Source organism: Homo sapiens, chromosome 2, assembly GCF_000001405.40.
Source record: "Homo sapiens chromosome 2, GRCh38.p14 Primary Assembly".
Taxonomy (NCBI): domain Eukaryota; kingdom Metazoa; phylum Chordata; class Mammalia; order Primates; family Hominidae; genus Homo; species Homo sapiens.
In genome coordinates, this window is record NC_000002.12 from 177,776,250 (window position 1) to 177,794,859 (window position 18,610).

The 18,610-nt window shown below is 39.7% G+C and overlaps 1 protein-coding gene across 4 annotated transcripts in view, besides 1 other annotated feature; it reads right to left on the reverse strand.

The window, feature by feature from the left end:
* The window catches only part of PDE11A (phosphodiesterase 11A), a 485,096-nt gene that overhangs the window by 153,006 nt on the left and 313,480 nt on the right, over positions 1–18,610 (reverse strand). The gene's annotated exons all lie outside the window — the stretch shown is intronic.
* Positions 7,890–7,939: an enhancer, noted in NCBI's record as "active region_16800". NCBI's record gives its function as "activates an Ori minimal core promoter by ATAC-STARR-seq in GM12878 lymphoblastoid cells {active_cell/tissue: GM12878}" and the evidence as "EXISTENCE:reporter gene assay evidence [ECO:0000049][PMID:35858748]".

Consider the following 18,610-nt stretch of genomic DNA (forward strand, 5'->3'; position numbering starts at 1 on the left):
CATATGCATACTTAAAATTGATTTATGGTTTATCTGAAATTCAAATGTACTTAAGTGTCCTGTATTTTATCTGGCAACCCTCCTTCTACATGCTCCAAATTAAGAAGGCTAGAAACAAATCCGGAAAACGCTAAGCTACATGCCAAAATACTGTTTCTCCTTTCACCCCCACCTCACAACATCTCCCAATGACATTTCTTCCAAAATATTTTATCTGCTAAGCTTACCAAATGCCTCAAGTCTGAAATATTTTCAGCAATGCTACTATTATGAGGGGAATTGTGCCCCCCAATCCCCACCAATTCATTTATTGAATTTCTAATTCCCAGGACATCAGAATATGACTGTATTTGGAGACAGGGCCTTTGAAGAGGTACTTAAGGTAAAATGAGGTCATGTGGGATGTGGGTGTGTCCTAATCCAATATGACTGGGGTCCTTACAAGAAGAGGAGTTCGGAATATGAATAACAGAAATAGAAGACCAGGTGAGGACACAGAGAGAAGGTGGCCATCTGCAAGCCAGAAAGATAGCCGTCACCAGAACCTGAACATGTTGGCATCCTGACATGGTTTGGCTGTGTCCCCAACCAAATCTCATCTTGGATTGTAGTTCCCATAATGTCTATATGTCATGGTAGGAACCTGGTGGGAGGTAACTGAAGCATGGGGGGGCAGTTACCCTCATGCTGTTCTCATGATAGTGAGTCCTCATGAGATCTGATGGTTTTATAAGTGGCTTTTCCCCCTTTTGCTCGGCACTTCTCCTTCCTGTACCATGTGAAGGACATGTTTGCTTCCCTTCTGCTGATTGTAAGTTTCCTGAGGCCTCCCCAGCCATGCTGAACTGTGAGTCAATTAAACCTCTTTCCTTTATAAATTACCCAGTCTTGGGTATGCCTTTATTAGCAGAGTAAGAAGGAACTGATACACACCCTGATTGTGAACTTCTAGCCTCCAGAACTGTAAGAAAATAAATATTTGTTGTTTAAGTGACCCAGTCTGTGGTATTTTGTTGTTATGGCAGCCCAAGCAAGTTTATACAGTCACATAACCTCATTAACCTAAGACCTGTCACAAATCTATGGAGGCCATTGAAGGAAATATAAAAAAAGTAATTCTTAATTACTTTTAGCATAGTCAATCTTCAAGAGAATCGTTACTGTTTTATATACATAAATAATATTATATGGCTCAGATAATGACTAAAAATCAGGCAAATTTCTATAGTTGAGAATAAATCTTAACAAATTGCAGAATCATATTATTTAAAAGTACTATTGCCCTACCTTCCTGGATAAGTTAGTTTCCTCCACAATTCCAAACTATATATTTCATAGCAAGTATCTAGGTTCATCATACATTTTTGAATAATAATACCTTTGATCAAGTAAAAATGCTTTAATTGAATGCATTATAATAGTTTTGAAGAAAGAGGCATTTGTAAGACATGGTTTTATAAATATACTATCATACTCTATGAGAAACAGGTTATGAGAGTATTACTATAACGTACATATCAGTTAATTTTTTCGACAGCTAAATAAAATTTGTGTAAAGCATACATACAAAAGCAAACAGTTAATCCACAGAACACTTGATGAGCATTAAACTTTCACAAGAAAATTTCTGATAGATGGATTTATCTTTTGTGTTGGTATTAATTGAGCAAATATTTTTGACTCAGTTTTGTTGGTGAGCTCTGACTTAAGAAATTTTTATAGTTTCTAAAATAAATCACTATTTGCAAAACCATACCAACTTTAATTAACTTTTGGATTGAACTTGCTTCCAGCAAAACAACAACAAAAAAGCAGATAAGGCAATTATCGGACCCATGAAAGAGAGAGGAAAGAAGTCACGTTTTTGTGTTGCATTTACACAGCAAGAAAAGACAATTAACTATATTTCAAAAGAAAAACAATGGGCAGAGCTATGAGATAGGACCACTGGATCAAGCCTTGCCATTCTCTACATGCAGTTCAGGACCAGAACCAAATGCTTGTCTTGCAGCCCCCAGAACTGTCCCTGAGTAGCTGGAAGACAGACCTCTTGCACCAATTGTCTTGAATGTTAATTTGTTGTGGATTTGGGCAGCCATTTGCTCCTGAAATGAGATATGGACCATTATACCAGCAGAGAGAAACACAAATGTAAAGAAGCACTTAAGAGCGAGGAGGAACAAAGACCCCACTGAGGATCCAGACTGAGTGTCTCAGGCACAAAAGGGCTGCATGAATACGTTTATTGCTCTGCTGGCAAAGTGGCACTTGGTAAAGGCTGGATGGCCGACTTAAGCTAAGCTGATCTGAAGTAAAATCCCAAATAATTTATATTGATGAGCTCCAAAGAAATAAAGAAGCTTTGCTCTCAGCAGTAGTCCTTAAACTAAGAAAGATGACAAACCACAAGGAATGAAAAGCCAATTTACTTGGAATAACCCGACAGAAGTGTCATCTAACTATATGAAGAACCATACTCCAGGATTTCTTAACAAGATGATGACAGTATTCAAAGACATGGCAACTGAACAGACGCGTTGAAACTGAGAAATCATCAGTTTTTATTGTCAAGTATTTAAGACACTGCTGTATAATAGAATGAAATGTTCAAAAGGTACTTCAGATAACTGTGTCTGCTGTGTGATCTGTTATCATGACCTTCAGAATCGATCATAAAAAATATTTTTAAAAAATCTAAGAAAGATTCATTTTTTTAAAATTGAAAGTAGAATAAAAGATACCTGCCAAACATGGGGTAATAATAAAATACAGGCATACCTCAGAGATATTGAGAGTTTGGTTCCAGACGACCTCAATAAAGTGAATGTAGCATTAAAGTGAGTTACATACGTTTTTTGGTTTCCCAGTGCATATAAAAGTTATGTTTATACTATGCTGTAGCCTATTAAGTGTGTAATAGCATATCTAAAAAACAATGCACATACCTTAATTTAAAAATACATTATTGCTAGAAATGCTAATGATCATCTGAGCCTTCAGCAAGTCGTAATATTTTTGCTGGTGGAGGGTCTTGCTTGAATGTTGAGGGCTGCTGATAGATCAGTGCGGTGGTTGCTGAAGCTATGGCAATTTCATAAAATAAGACAATGAGGTTTGCACATGAATTAACTCTTCCTTTCATGAAATATTTCTCTGTAGCATACAATGCTGCTTGATAGCATTTTACCCACGGTAGAACTTCTTTCAGAATTGGAGTCAGTCCTCTCAATTCCTGCCACTGTTTTGTCAACTAAATTTGTGTAATATTCTAAATATTTTGTTTTCATTTCAATAATGTTCACAGCATCTTCACCAAGTGTATATTCCATCTCAGGAAACCACTTTCTTTGTTCATTTATGAGAAGCAACTCCTCATCTGTTCAAGTTTTACCATGAGACTGCAACAATTAAGTCACATATTCAGGCTCCACTTGTAATTCTAGTTCTCTTGCTATTTCCACCACATCTGCAGTTACTTCCTCCACTGAAGTCTTAAACCCTTCAAATTCAGACATGAGGGTTAGAGTCAACTTCTTCCAAACTCCGGTTAATGTTGATATTTTGACCTCCTCCAGGGAATCATAAATGTTCTTAATGGCATTTAGAATGGTGAATCCTTTCTAGAAGGTTTTCAATTTATTTTAGCCAGATCCATTGTTGGAATCACTATGTATGGCAGCTACAGCCTTACAAAATGTATTTCTTAAATAATAAGACTTGAAAGTAGAAATTACTCTTGATCTATGGGCTGCAGAATGAATGCTGTATTAGCAGGCATGAAAACAACATTAATATCCTTGTACAGCTCCACCGGAGTGTTTGGGTGACTAGGTGCATTGTCAATTAGCAGTAATATTTTGAAAGGAATCTTTTTGTCTGAGCAGTAAGTCTCAATGGGAGGCCTAAAACATTTAGCAAACCATGCTGTTTACTGATGTGTTGTCATCAAGACTTTGCTGTTCCATTTATAGTGTACAAGCAGAGTAGATTTAGCATAATTCTTTTATTTTTTATTTTTTAGACAGGGAATCTCACTCTGTCACCCAAACTGGTCTTGAAATCCTGACCTCAAGTGATCCTCCCGCCTCAGCCTCCCAAGTAGCTGGGACTACAGGTGTACACCACCACTTCTGGCTTGATTTAGCATAATTCTTAAGGGCCCGAGGATTTTCAAAATGGTAAATAAGCACTGGCTTCAATTTAAAATCACCAGCAACTTACCATAGCCCCTAACAAGAGAGTCAGCCTGTGCTTTGAAGACATTGACTTCTCCTCTCTAGTTATGAAATTCCTAGATGGCATCTTCTTCCAGTAGAAAGCTGTTTTGTCTGCATTGAAAATCTGTTGTCTACTGTAACAACCTTTATCAATGATCTTAGCTAGATGTTCTGGATAACTTGCTACAGCTTCTACATCAGCACTTGCTGCTTCATCTCACACTTTTATGTTTTGGAGATGGCTTCTTCCCTTAAAGTTCATGAATCTCTGCTAGCTTCAAACTTTTCTTCTGCAACTTCCTCACCTCTCTCAGTCTTCATAGATTTGAAGAGAATTAGGGCCTTGATCTGGATTAGGCTTTGGCTTAAGAGAATGTTGTGGCTCATTTGATCTTTTCTTCAGACCACTAAAACTTTCTCCATATCAGCAAAAAGGCTGTTTCACTTTCTTATTATTCATATGTTCACTGGAACAGCATTTTTAATTTCCTTCAAAAACTTTTCCTTTGCATTTACAACTTGGTTGTTTGGCATAAGAGGCCTAGCTTTCAGCCTATCTCACCTTTTGACATGCCTTTCTCACTAAGCTTAATCATGCCTAGCTTATGATTAAAAGTGATAGATGTGCAACTCTTCCTTTCACTGGAACACTTAGAGGTCATTGTAGGGTTATTACTTGGCCTAATTTCCATATTGATGTGTCTTGGAAAACAGAGAGGCCCAAGGAAAGGGAGAGAGATGGGGAAGAGCTGGTCAGCAGAGCAGTCAGAACACAAAACATTTATCAATTAAGTTTACCGCCTTATATGGGCACAGTTCATAGTGCCCCAAAGGATTACAATAGTAACATTAAAAATCACTGATCACAGATAATTGTAACAGATATAATAAGACGTATAAAATGTTGTAAGAATTACCAAAATGTGACACAAAAACACAAAGTAAACACACACTGCTGCAAAAATGGTGCCAATAGAGTTTGCGGTCAATTTGAGACCTTGCCCATCTTGGCTGAATTCTCAATTTCTTTTTCTTTTCTTTTTTTTTTTTTTGAGACTCTGTCTGTCACTCTGTTCCCCAGGCTGGAGTGTAGTGGCTTGATCTCAGTTCACTGCAGCCTCCATCTGCTGGGTTCAAGAGATTCTCCTGACTCAGCCTCCAAGTAGCTGGGACTACAGGTGCGTGCCACCACACCCAGCTGATTTTTGTAGTTTTAGTAGAGAAGGGGTTTCGCCATGTTGGCCAGGCTGGTCTTGAACTTCTGACCTCAGGTGATCTGCCCGCCTCTGCCTCCCAAAGTGCTGGGATTACAAGTGTGAGCCACCATGTCCAGCTGAATTCTCTTTTAATTAAACTTCTTGACCAAAGAGATATGCCGTTTTTGCTTTTGTTTTATCCAAAGGTATGAAGCCAACTCTCCAGTGGTTTGAGTGGGCCCTCAACTTGGGATGAGAAATTCATTCACCATTTTTTCACCCAAATCAAAGGTTTAATGTAATCATTCTATGTCATTACCCAGATTAAAATGTTAATTTTAGTAACCACACTTTAAATCTCAATCTAATTTTTAAATGCAAGCCATTAAGATGCATTCATAAGGCTAAATACTATTCATTAGCTAGTACATAATGACAACACTGACATTCATTTGGCAGTTTCCCAAACTATCTTTCCCTCTAAATATTGGTACCTGTGCCCTTGCCAGAGGATAACATATCTTGTATTATATAAATCTTGAAATTTAACAGGTACTTTGCAACTACATCCAAATTATTATCTGGTGAATTAAGATGACCACACATTCTTTGACACTATTTCTATGAGAGGTGGGGTCTATGTCCCTTCCCTTTGACTCTATGTGGGGTTTGTGTTTAAACCATTAAGTTGCCAAAAAGTGGTTAAAAAGCAATAAATAAACAAAACATTATCAACATTCAACTGGGACTTGCCACCCTATGCCATCCAAAGATTTCTGTAATCAGGTGTCAACTGAAGCTTCCTTGTCTTTCAAAATCTAGGTAAGATCAACGTGAACCCCTAAACTCATGAAATACTATGGAAATTCAAAGCCTTTTTCAAAATGTCTACATATTCTTGGCAGGTTTATATTCTCATCTTGGCCTTTGAGTTCTTATGTATTCTTGTGCTGTATCTGTTATATAATCATCACACTAAATGTGAAATTCAGCTCCCTCCTCAATTTCCACACCAAAAAAATCCACTCACATCAAGAATTCATAAATTTAGTATAATGTGAAGAAGGTTCTTTCTTTTTTGCTTCCTTCCTTCCCTCTTCCCTTCTTCCCTACTTCCTTCCTTTCTCTTTCTCCCTCCTTTTTCTTCTCTTTCTCTCCCTTTCTTTTCTTTCTTTCCTTCCTCCATCCTTCCCTTCCTTCTTTCTCTATCTCTCCCCTCTCCACTTGCTTTCTGAAAAGACAAATTATGAAGTTGCATCAAAACAAACAAACAAACAAACAAACAAACAAGCACCCTCTCATGAAGTATCAGCTCCACCATTCTCAAAATAGATTTTGCCCCTGCCACCAATGGGGCATTTCACTGACCATTAATCTCGTACAGTCTCAGCCTTTACTCATATTTCTGGCTTCTCTCCAATGTAACTTTCTCTTTTTCTCTTTTCCCCCTCCCTATATTCAAATGTATAATAACACAATTCTCTTCATTTCTCATACAGAATCATTTCCCACATCCTCTGATTACTAGAGGCAGTCAATATTCATTCCCTCATAATCTGTACAATATCAAGAGGGCTTGTCAAGGATTTTCCCATACAACTCCTTCCTTAGTCTTAGTGAGGAATGCTGGGGCCTATGGTTAGATAACATTTCATTCACCTTGTTATACTTCAGAAGTTCTCATATGTGTCTTAAGTTATTTATTAGCTCAGTGGTTAGATTCTAGTCTTGTCCATGTTTTTGAGGTGGTTTTTTTCCCCCTGGAATTTGGACTGATTTCTAAATTCTTTCTGAGCAACAAGTACCCAAACTAACATTTTCATATTTGTCTTCCATTTTTTCTATTAAGCTCATTAAAATTACTACTACCTTTTTTCCTGAGGCCCTGCAAGCTAAAGCTTATTCCTTGCAATATAGGCAAGAAAAATGAGTCAGATTGCCACTGCATTACTCTTCTGTAACTAAAGATGCTTTAAGTCTAACATCTGGATAGATTTTGCCCAAAATTAACCTTTGTTTTTATTCTGTTTCCACAAAAACGCCTCTTATTGAAAATCTGTTTGGCTTTGTATTTCAGACAAAAGGGTACTGGTTTTCCAGCCTATTCACTTAGATTTCAAATGGCATTGATCTCTTCCTATAAGCATTGTTAAACTGGGGTTAAGCATTTTATTAATTATCACTAGGTGCTATTTCATTTAAAAAATTATTTGTTATATTCAACAGGTATTCAGATGGGTAAAGTTTATATCTTCCAGGCTACCAAAGTTCCAGACAAACATGATAATTGACTCAAGGGTTCCAGCCTGTGCCACTGCAGGAAGGACTGAGTCCCTATAAATCATTAGATAAGGTAGTGAGAGATTTCTATGCCTCCAGATCAGATAGAGATGACAGCTCCTGTTCAGGATGAAGCAGTTACAGAAGATGAAACCTCTGTCCCTCTACAACCTTTTAGGATTAAGGAAGAGTGCACAGTCTCTGAGGAGAGATGAAAAAGGAATTCAGCAGGACTTGTTTCACAAGATACAGACCACAAAGACTGCTGATAAAACAGGATGTGGTAAAGAAGTCTGCCAAAACCTGCCAAAACCAAGATGGCTATGAAAACAACCTCTGGTCATTCTCAGTGCTCATTATACACTAATTATAATATATTAGCATACCAATGGAAACTCCACCAACATCATAACAGTTTACAATTACAATTACAGTTACAAATGCCGTGGCATTGTCCTGAAACTACCCTATATGATCTAAACGGGAGAGGATCCCTCAATTCTGGGAACTCTCAGCTGCTTTCCCAGAAAACTCATGAATAATCTACTCCTTGTTTAGCACATAATCAAAAAATAACCATAAGTATAGTCAGTCAAGCAGCCCATGCTGCTATCTGCCTATGGGGTAGCCACCCTTTTATTCCTTTAGTTAATAAAGTTGCTTTCACTTTACTCTGTCACTTTACTGCTGGCTTTCACTTTACTCTATCACTTTATACTTTATTGCTGGCTCTTGAATTCTTTCCTGCACAAGCCAAGAACCCATGTGACCTCCCAAGCTGAGTTCCAATTTTGAGGTTTGCCCTGTGACATCTTTGGCTTATGAAAGCAATCTGATTAAGATCCAGCTTAAAATTATAATCATGTAAGTCAACTCTACTACATAGTTTTGAGCACAGAAATCAGAATTCATGCTATGAATTGCCCTAGGCTTGTAGTCTGAACTTGTTCTCTCCCTATTTGCAGGGGTCAGTGGTAGGATTTAATCTGTTTATACGGATTAACTGCTGTATAGATTACCTACAGCAATTCTTAAGACAGGCTGTTTCCTTTCATTTAGTAAAACTTTGTTTTCTTAATTTGTCAATGCTTAGTGTGCCAACAATGGGGGGCCAGTATAGTTTGGTCTTTGAGCATAGGGGCTTTGTGTCAGACTGCTGAGCTCACAATCCTGGCTCACTAGACCTGTAACCTTGGCCTAATTATATAACCTATGTCTCAGTTTCCTCATCAGTAAAAGGTGAGAAATATATGCACTTTTCAATCATATTTCACTGGCCAGAGCAAGTTACAGCACTCCACCTGATTTCAAGGAAGTGAGGCAGTGTAATATGATCATGGGCCCAGATAGGAGAGAACCAGAAAAAAAACTGATGATGAGCACTGATGGTAACCACAATGGTTTGGGCAATCAAATAGCAAGTTATGTTAGAATAGCGTTTAAAGACAATTCTGGGAGGGCAGCCAAGATGGCCGAATAGGAACAGCTCCAGTCTACAGCTCCCAGCATGAGCGACGCAGAAGACGGGTGATTTCTGCATTTCCATCTGAGGTACCGGGTTCATCTCACTAGGGAGTGCCAGACAGTGGGTGCAGGACAGTAGGTGCAGTGCACCATGCATGAGCCGAAGTAGGGCGAGGCATTGCCTCACTCGGGAAGCACAAGGGGTCAGGGAGTTCCCTTTCCTAGTCAAAGAAAGGGGTGACAGACGGCACCTGGAAAATCGGGTCACTCCCACCCTAATACTGCGCTTTTCCGACGGGCTTAAAAAACGGCGCACCAGGAGATTATATCCCACACATGGCTCGGAGGGTCCTATGCCCATGGAGTCTCGCTGATTGCTAGCACAGCAGTCTGAGATCAAACTGCAAGGCGGCAGCGAGGCTGGGGGAGGGGCGCCCACCATTGCCCAGACTTGCTTAGGTAAACAAAGCAGCCAGAAAGCTTGAACTGGGTGGAGCCCACCACAGCTCAAGGAGGCCTGCCTGCCTCTGTAGGCTCCACTTCTGGGGGCAGGGCACAGACAAACAAAAAGATAGCAGTAACCTCTGCAGACTTAAATGTCCCTGTCTGACAGCTTTGAAGAGAGCAGTGGTTCTCCCAGCACGCAGCTGGAGATCTGAGAACGGGCAGACTGCCTCGTCAAGTGGGTCCCTGACCCCTGACCCCTGAGCAGCCTAACTGGGAGGCATCCCCCAGTAGGGGCAGACTGACACCTCACACGGCCGGGTACTCCTCTGAGACAAAACTTCCAGAGGAATGATCAGACAGCAGCATTCGCGGTTCATGAAAATCCGCTGTTCTGCAGCCACCACTGCTGATACCAGGCAAACAGGGTCTGGAGTGGACCTCTAGCAAACTCCAACAGACCTGCAGCTGAGGGTCCTGTCTGTTAGAAGGAAAACTAACAAACAGAAAGGACATCCACACCAAAAACCCATCTGTACATCACCATCATCAAAGACCAAAAGTAGATAAAACCACAAAGATGGGGAAAAAACAGAGCAGAAAAACTGGAAACTCTAAAAAGCAGAGCGCCTCTCCTCCTCCAAAGGAACGCAGTTCCTCACCAGCAACGGAACAAAGCTGGACGGAGAATGACTTTGACGAGTTGAGAGAAGAAGGCTTCAGACGATCAAATTACTCTGAGCTACAGGAGGAAATTCAAACCAAAGGCAAAGAAGTTAAAAACTTTGAAAAAAATTTAGACTAATGTATAACTAGAATAACCAATACAGAGAAGTGCTTAAAGGAGCTGATGGAGCTGAAAGCCAAAGCTCAAGAACTACGTGAAGAATGCAGAAGCCTCAGGAGCCGATGCGATCAACTGGAAGAAAGGGTATCAGTGATGGAAGATGAAATGAATAAAATGAAGCGAGAAGGGAAGTTTAGAGAAAAAAGAATAAAAAGAAACGAACAAAGCCTCCAAGAAATATGGGACTATGTGAAAAGACCAAATCTACGTCTGATCGGTGTACCTGAAAGTGACGGGGAGAATGGAACCAAGTTGGAAAACACTCTGCAGGACATTATCCAGGAGAACTTCCCCAATCTAGCAAGGCAGGCCAACATTCAGATTCAGGAAATACAGAGAACGCCACAAAGATACTCTTCGAGAAGAGCAACTCCAAGACAAATAATTGTCAGATTCACCAAAGTTGAAATGAAGGAAAAAATGTTAAGGGCAGCCAGAGAGAAAGGTCGGGTTACCCACAAAGGGAAGCCCATCAGACTAACAGCGGATCTCTCGGCAGAAACTCTACAAGCCAGAAGAGAGTGGGGGCCAATATTCAACATTCTTAAAGAAAAGAATTTTCAACCCAGAATTTCATATCCAGCCAAACTAAGCTTCATAAGTGAAGGAGAAATAAAACACTTTACAGACAAGCAAATGCTGAGAGATTTTGTCACCACCAGGCCTGCCCTAAAAGAGCTCCTGAAGGAAGCACTAAACATGGAAAGGAACAACTGGTACCAGCCGCTGCAAAATCATGCCAAAATGTAAAGACCATCGAGACTAGGAAGAAACTGCATCAACTAACGAGCAAATTAACCAGCTAACATCATAATGACAGGATCAAATTCACAAATAACAATATTAACTTTAAATGTAAATGGACTAAATGCTCCAATTAAAAGACGCAGACTGGCAAATTGGATAAAGAGTCAAGACCCATCAGTGTGCTGTATTCAGGAAACCCATCTCACGTGCAGAGACACACATAGGCTCAAAATAAAAGGATGGAGGAAGATCTACCAAGCAAATGGAAAACAAAATAGGCAGGGGTTGCAATCCTAGTCCCTGATAAAACAGACTTTAAACCAACAAAGATCAAAAGCGACAAAGAAGGCCATCACATAATGGTAAAGGGATCAATTCAACAAGAAAAGCTAACTATCCTAAATATATATGCACCCAATACAGGAGCACCCAGATTCATAAAGCAAGTCCTGAATGACCTACAAAGAGACTTAGACTTCCACACAATAATAATGGGAGACTTTAACACCCCACTGTCAACATTAGACAGATCAATGAGACAGAAAGTTAACAAGGATACCCAGGAATTGAACTCAGCTCTGCACCAAGCGGACCTAATAGACATCCACAGAACTCTTCACCCCAAATCAACAGAATATACATTCTTTTCAGCACCACACCACACCTATTCCAAAATTGACCACATAGTTGGAAGTAAAGGTCTCCTCAGCAAATGTAAAAGAACAGAAATTATAACAAACTGTCTCTCAGACCACAGTGCAATCAAACTAGAACTCAGGATTAAGAAACTCACTCAAAACCGCTCAACTACATGGAAACTGAACAACCTGCTCCTGAATGACTACTGGGTACGTAATGAAATGAAGGCAGAAATAAAGATGTTCTTTGAAACCAACGAGAACAAAGACACCACATACCAGAATCTCTGGGACGCATTCAAAGCAGTGTGTAGAGGGAAATTTATAGCACTAAATGCCTACAAGAGAAAGGGGGAAAGATCCAAAATTAACACCCTAACATCACAATTAAAAGAACTAGAAAAGCAAGAGCAAACACATTCAAAAGCTAGCAGAAGGCAAGAAATAACTAAAATCAGAGCAGAACTGAAGGAAATAGAGACACAAAAAACCCTTCAAAAAATTAATGAATCCAGGAGCTGGTTTTTTCAAAGGATCAACAAAATTGATAGACTGCTAGCAAGACTAATAAAGAAAAAAAGAGAGAAGAATCAAATAGATGCAATAAAAAATGATAAAGGGGATATCACCACCAATCCCACAGAAATTCAAACTACCATCAGAGAATACTACAAACAACTCTACTCAAATAAACTAGAAAATCTAGGAGAAATGGATAAATTCCTCGACACATACACTCTCCCAAGACTAAACCAGGAAGAAGTTGAATCTCTGAATAGACCAATAACAGGATCTGAAATTGTGGCAATAATCAATAGCTTACCAAACAAAAAGAGTCCAGGACCAGATGGATTCACAGCCGAATTCTACCAGAGGTACAAGGAGGAACTGGTACCATTCCCTCTGAAACTATTCCAATCAACAGAAAAAGAGGGAATTCTCCCTAACTCATTTTATGAGGCCAGCATCATTCTGATACCAAAGCCGGGCAGAGACACAACCAAAAAGAGAATTTTAGACCAATATGCTTGATGAACATTGATGCAAAAATCCTCAATAAAGTACTGGCAAACCGAATCCAGCAGCACATCAAAAAGCTTATGCACCATGATCAAGTGGGCTTCATCCCTGGGATGCAAGGCTGGCTCAATATACACAAATCAATAAATGTAATCCAGCATATAAACAGAACCAAAGACAAAAACCACATGATTATCTCAATAGATGCAGAAAAGGCCTTTGACAAAATTCAACAATGCTTCATGCTAAAAACTCTCAATAAATTAGGTATTGATGGGACGTATTTCAAAATAATAAGAGCTATCTATGACAAACCCACAGCCAATATCATACTGAATGGGCAAAAACTGGAAGCATTCCCTTTGAAAACTGGCACAAGACAGGGATGCCCTCTGTCACCACTCCTATTCAACATAGTGTTGGAAGTTCTGGCCAGGACAATTAGGCAGAAGAAGGAAATAAAGGGTATTCAATTAGGAAAAGAGGAAGTCAAATTGTCCCTGTTTGCAGATGACATGATTGTATATCTAGAAAACCCCATTGTCTCAGCCCAAAATCTTCTTAAGGTGATAAGCAACTTAAGCAAAGTCTCAGGATACAAAATCAATGTACAAAAATCACAAGCATTTTTATACACCAATAACAGACAAACAGAGAGCCAAATCATGAGTGAACTCCCATTCACAGCTGCTTCAAAGAGAATAAAATACCTAGGAACCCAACTTACAAGGGATGTGAAAGACCTCTTCAAGGAGAACTACAAACCACTGCTCAATGAAATAAAAGAGGATACAAACAAATGGAAGAACATTCCATGCTCATGGGTAGGAAGAATCAATATTGTGAAAATGGCCATACTGCCCAAGGTAATTTATAGATTCAATGCCATCGCCATCAAGCTACCAATGACTTTCTTCACAGAATTGGAAAAAACTACTTTAAAGTTCATATGGAACCAAAAAGAGCCCGCATCACCAAGTCAGTCCTAAGCCAAAAGAACAAAGTTGGAGGCATCACACTACCTGACTTCAAACTATACTACAAGGCTACAGTAACCAAAACAGCATGGTACTGGTACCAAAACAGAGATATAGATCAATGGAACAGAACAGAGCCCTCAGAAATAACGCCACATATCTACAACTATCTGATCTTTGACAAACCTGAGAAAAACAAGCAATGGGGAAAGGATTCCCTATTTAATAAATGGTGCTGGGAAAACTGGCTAGACATATGTAGAAAGCTGAAACTGGATCCCTTCCTTACACCTTATACAAAAATTAATTCAAGATGGATTAAAGACTTAAATGTTAGACCTAAAACCATAAAAACCCTAGAAGAAAACCTAGGCATTACCATTCAGGACATAGGCAAGGGCAAGGACTTCATGTCCAAAACACCAAAAGCAATGGCAACAAAAGCCAAAATTGACAAATGGGATCTAATTAAACTAAAGGGCTTCTGCACAGCAAAAGAAACTACTATCAGAATGAACAGGCAACCTACAAAATGGGAGAAAATTTTTGCAACCTACTCATCTGACAAAGGGCTAATATCCAGAATCTACAATAAACTCAAACAAATTTACAAGAAAAAAACAAACAACCCCATCAAAAAGTGGGCGAAGGATATGAACAGACACTTCTCAAAAGACATTTATGCAGCCAAAAGACGCATGAAAAAATGCTCATCATCACTGGCCATCAGAGAAATGCAAATCAAAACCACAATGAGATACCATCTCACATCAGTTAGAATGGCAATCATTAAAAAGTCAGGAAACAACAGGTGCTGGAGAGGATGTGGAGAAATAGGAACACTTTTACACTGTTGGAGAGACTGTAAACTAGTTCAACCATTGTGGAAGTCAGTGTGGAGATTCCTCAGGGATCTAGAACTAGAAATAACATTTGACCCAGCCATCCCATTACTGGGTATATACCCCAAGGACTATAAATCATGGTGCTATAAAGACACATGCACATGTATGTTTATTGAGGCACTATTCACAATAGCAAAGACTTGGAACCAACCCAAATGTCCAACAATGATAGACTGGATTAAGAAAATGTGGCACATATACACCATGAAATACTATGCAGCCATAAAAAATGATGAGTTCATGTCCTTTGTAGGGACATGGATGAAATTGGAAATCATCATTCTCAGTAAACTATCACAAGAACAAAAAGCCAAACACTGCATGTTCTCACTCATAGGTGGGAATTGAACAATGAGAACACGTGGACACAGGAAGGGGAACATCACACTCTGGGGACTGTTGTCGGGTGGGGGGAGGGGGGAGGGATAGCATTAGGAGATATACCTAATGTTAAATGACGAGTTAATGGGTGCAGCACACCAGCATGGCACATGTATACATATGTAACTAACCTGCAGATTGTGCACATGTACCCTAAAACTTAAAGTATAAAAAAAAAAAAAAAGAATAGTGTTTAAAGTCAGAGCAAATGAGTCCAATGTATGAACTCTAGTATATACATTTGTGGTTTATTTGACTTTTGCTTACTTCCTGATTCTCTCCTGTGTTTCAGGGTTGTGTTTGATAGATATGATCTCCAAATAAGTAAGATTATAGTATATGTTTCTTAAATATTGTTTATATTTAACATACATAGTACATAGAGTATATGACCATTAAGTACTATTGCTTTTACTATATTTTGTTACCTATAGGAGAAAATAATTATGTTAAGGAAAATGATTGGCTTATTTTTGTTCTATAACTTTTGTGAAATGCTTAGTTATTAATTTCAATCATTTCAATGTCCTTAAGGTGAAAGAAATTGCCTATTTCTTTGGAAAACGTTGCATGTGATAATGAGTCTTCTGATTTTTCTAAGTTTTTAGTATTCTCCTATAAAGGATCTCAGGCATTAACACTTAAAAAGGTTTTAATGATTAATTCTTAGTGAGATTAAATATGGCTCTATACATATGCATATTGGACTATAATTTATAACTATTTCAAAATTAGTGTTCCATTCCCACAATTGCATTACTCCTCTCATTCTGTTTTAAAGTGAGGCTGTTTTTCTTAATCATATAGGTTATTAAATGTATTAATGTTTCACAAATTCTTTTCTAATGAACTACTTGCTTATTTGCTTTTCTCATTAATAAGAACAGAGAAGAACATAGCATTCTTCGGGTATAATTGAGCAACTTGGATTGGTTATTGCTGTTTCTGAAACCACTATAATATGTGCCAAATTGTTTTCAAATCTATAACTTATATAACTAGAACTTTTAGTAGTCTGATTTCACTTAAGACCATACTTCTGAGTAGCATGTTATTAAATATTTATATATACTGATTTTCCATTCCTCTCCCCCCATGGTTTTTGCATAATCAAAGGATTACCATTATGCTTTGAGAGAGAGATACATTGCTTATTTGCACTGGTTATGCAGGAACACCATGGAGCATTTTATGTTTGAAACAGCGTGGCTCTGCTGGGAGCTCCTGAAGTAAAAGGAATAAGGAGAGATCAGGCCTAGTTTGGGCCACTGTCAAACTCACTAGGGCCACAGAAGTGACTCGTCACCATGGATGAAATAAAAATGCAAAGGGCAATTTCCAATCTGTCTGGACCAAGGTTGCTGGCCATGGAGATCAGATTAGATTTGAGTAAACCAGGGAATCACATCAATGCAGTCTGGGATGTACCGATGAATGAACCATTCATTCAATCAAGACATATCCATTGAAGACTTAATTTGTGCCCAGAACTGCGCAGTCACTAAACAGGCAAACATACAAGTTGAAATAATTGCTACAAAGTCAAGTAGCAAAATGCGAAAGAAACCATGGGAGGAGGTGGGAAGAATGGCAGGGAGTGGCAGGGAAGTTGGTTAGGGATGACCTCTTTGAGACATGATACTTAAGCTGAGACCTGGAAAATGATAAAGAACCAGCCAGCCAACGGGTAGGGGAAGAGCTCTGGGCAGAGGGAGCAGTCACCTTTGTGTGGTGTTAGGGCATGTAAGTGGGCAGAGGAGACAGGAGAGCTGGGCACAGGCCTAGTCATGCAGGGCCTTTCAGGCGGATAAAGACTTCATTAGAGTCCATGGGAAGCCATCCAGGGTTTCAGGCAAGAGGCTGACATTGTCTCATTAGTTTTCCAGTCATTATGACCTTGGAAGGCCCTAATGTGCCCCTCCTCAGTGATACCCCACCCCAGAAGTGACCACCACTCTGACTTTTGTGGCATTCATTCCCTTGGGGTAGTATATAGTTTTGCCTGTTCTTGAACTTACATAAATGGATTCATATTACATGTAGAACATGGCCCTGGTTGTGTAGAGGGTGGACTGGAGGTGGGCAAGAGTGGATGTGGGAGGGAAAACAGTGGCTGGATGAGGATGGTGGATGCGAGACCTCGATCTGTGGAGACAATACACAGGGATCTGCAAAAAAAAAAAAAAAAAAAAAAAGAGCTCCACTCAGGGAGGAAAGGACCAGAGCCACAGAAGCACTCAGTCCCGGGTCCCGGTCCCTGAAGGAAGGAGCCATACACCAGAGACCATCAAAAAGGAGGAGGAAAGGGCATGTGAGGCCACATACAAGCAAACTGGAACCCAAAACAAGGAAGGCTGCTTCCCTCTGCTTGTGAGTACCTGGCTCCATCGCTCACACTGCGGCAGTACAGGGATCAGGCACACTGACTTGCTCCGGTGTCTAGTCAGTAGAAGGATGGGGAGGGACTGGACCACTTTGGTTCACAGCCATCTGAAGCTGCAGATAGTGAATTTCATTATGAATTTGAGGCAGGAATGGGCACCAGTATTGGGAAACACAATGCCTTTAAACATTTCTCAGTCAACAAATATTTATTCAGTATCAGCTATGTTTTAGGAACTATTGTAGGTGCTAGGGATACATCAGTCAAAAAAAGAGACAAAAATCTCTGCCAGTATGGGGCTTATGATCTAGAGTGGAGAGAGTGGAGTGAAATAAGGAAAAGGTAGTGTATCAAGTGATGATGAGTGCTATGGAGAAAAACAAAGCAGGGAAGGGAGATTAGCATGTTGGGGGCAGGAAAGGGGGCACGGCAGATTTAAATAAGACTGTCTGGGAAGGTGGCACTGAATAGTACAAATAAAACCTGAAATTGCAGAGAGAGCAAGCCGTGTGGATATCAGGATGAGAGGGTGTAGGGTGCAAGTGCAAAGGTCCTATGGCACAAATGTGCCCAGCTTGTTTAAGGAAAAGCAAAGAGGCCAGTGGGACAGAGTGAGGAAAGTGAGAATAACAGGAGGTCATAGAGGGACCAGGGATTAGATCACAGAAGTTTTGGAAACCATCGTAACTTGGCCTTTTGTTAAAACAAGTAAGTGTAGGCACTTGCTGGGGATAAAAACAAATTTCCCAGAGGCAGGCTCATCGAATTGGGCCCAGTATACTTGCTAAATTAAGGAGCCATTTTCCTCCTTTTCAAAGAGATAAAGGCAGCTTTCCCCTCATTTCTGTTAAGCTCAGGGGCTGCTGTCAGCCCCACAGACCCACATGAGCCAGATCTTTTTCTTTGGATGAATCTAATTCCTTGGCAATCTGGGTATGATTCCCACCCCTACCCCTACACCGACCCCCCAACACACCCGACAAACGAATGTCTGCTGTTTGTTAATTGGTGTCTGGTTTTTGTTTGTTTGTTTGTTTGTTTGTTTGTTTGTTTTTGAGACAGAGTCTCGCACTGTTGCCCAGGCTGGAGTGCAGTGTCACGATCTTGGCTC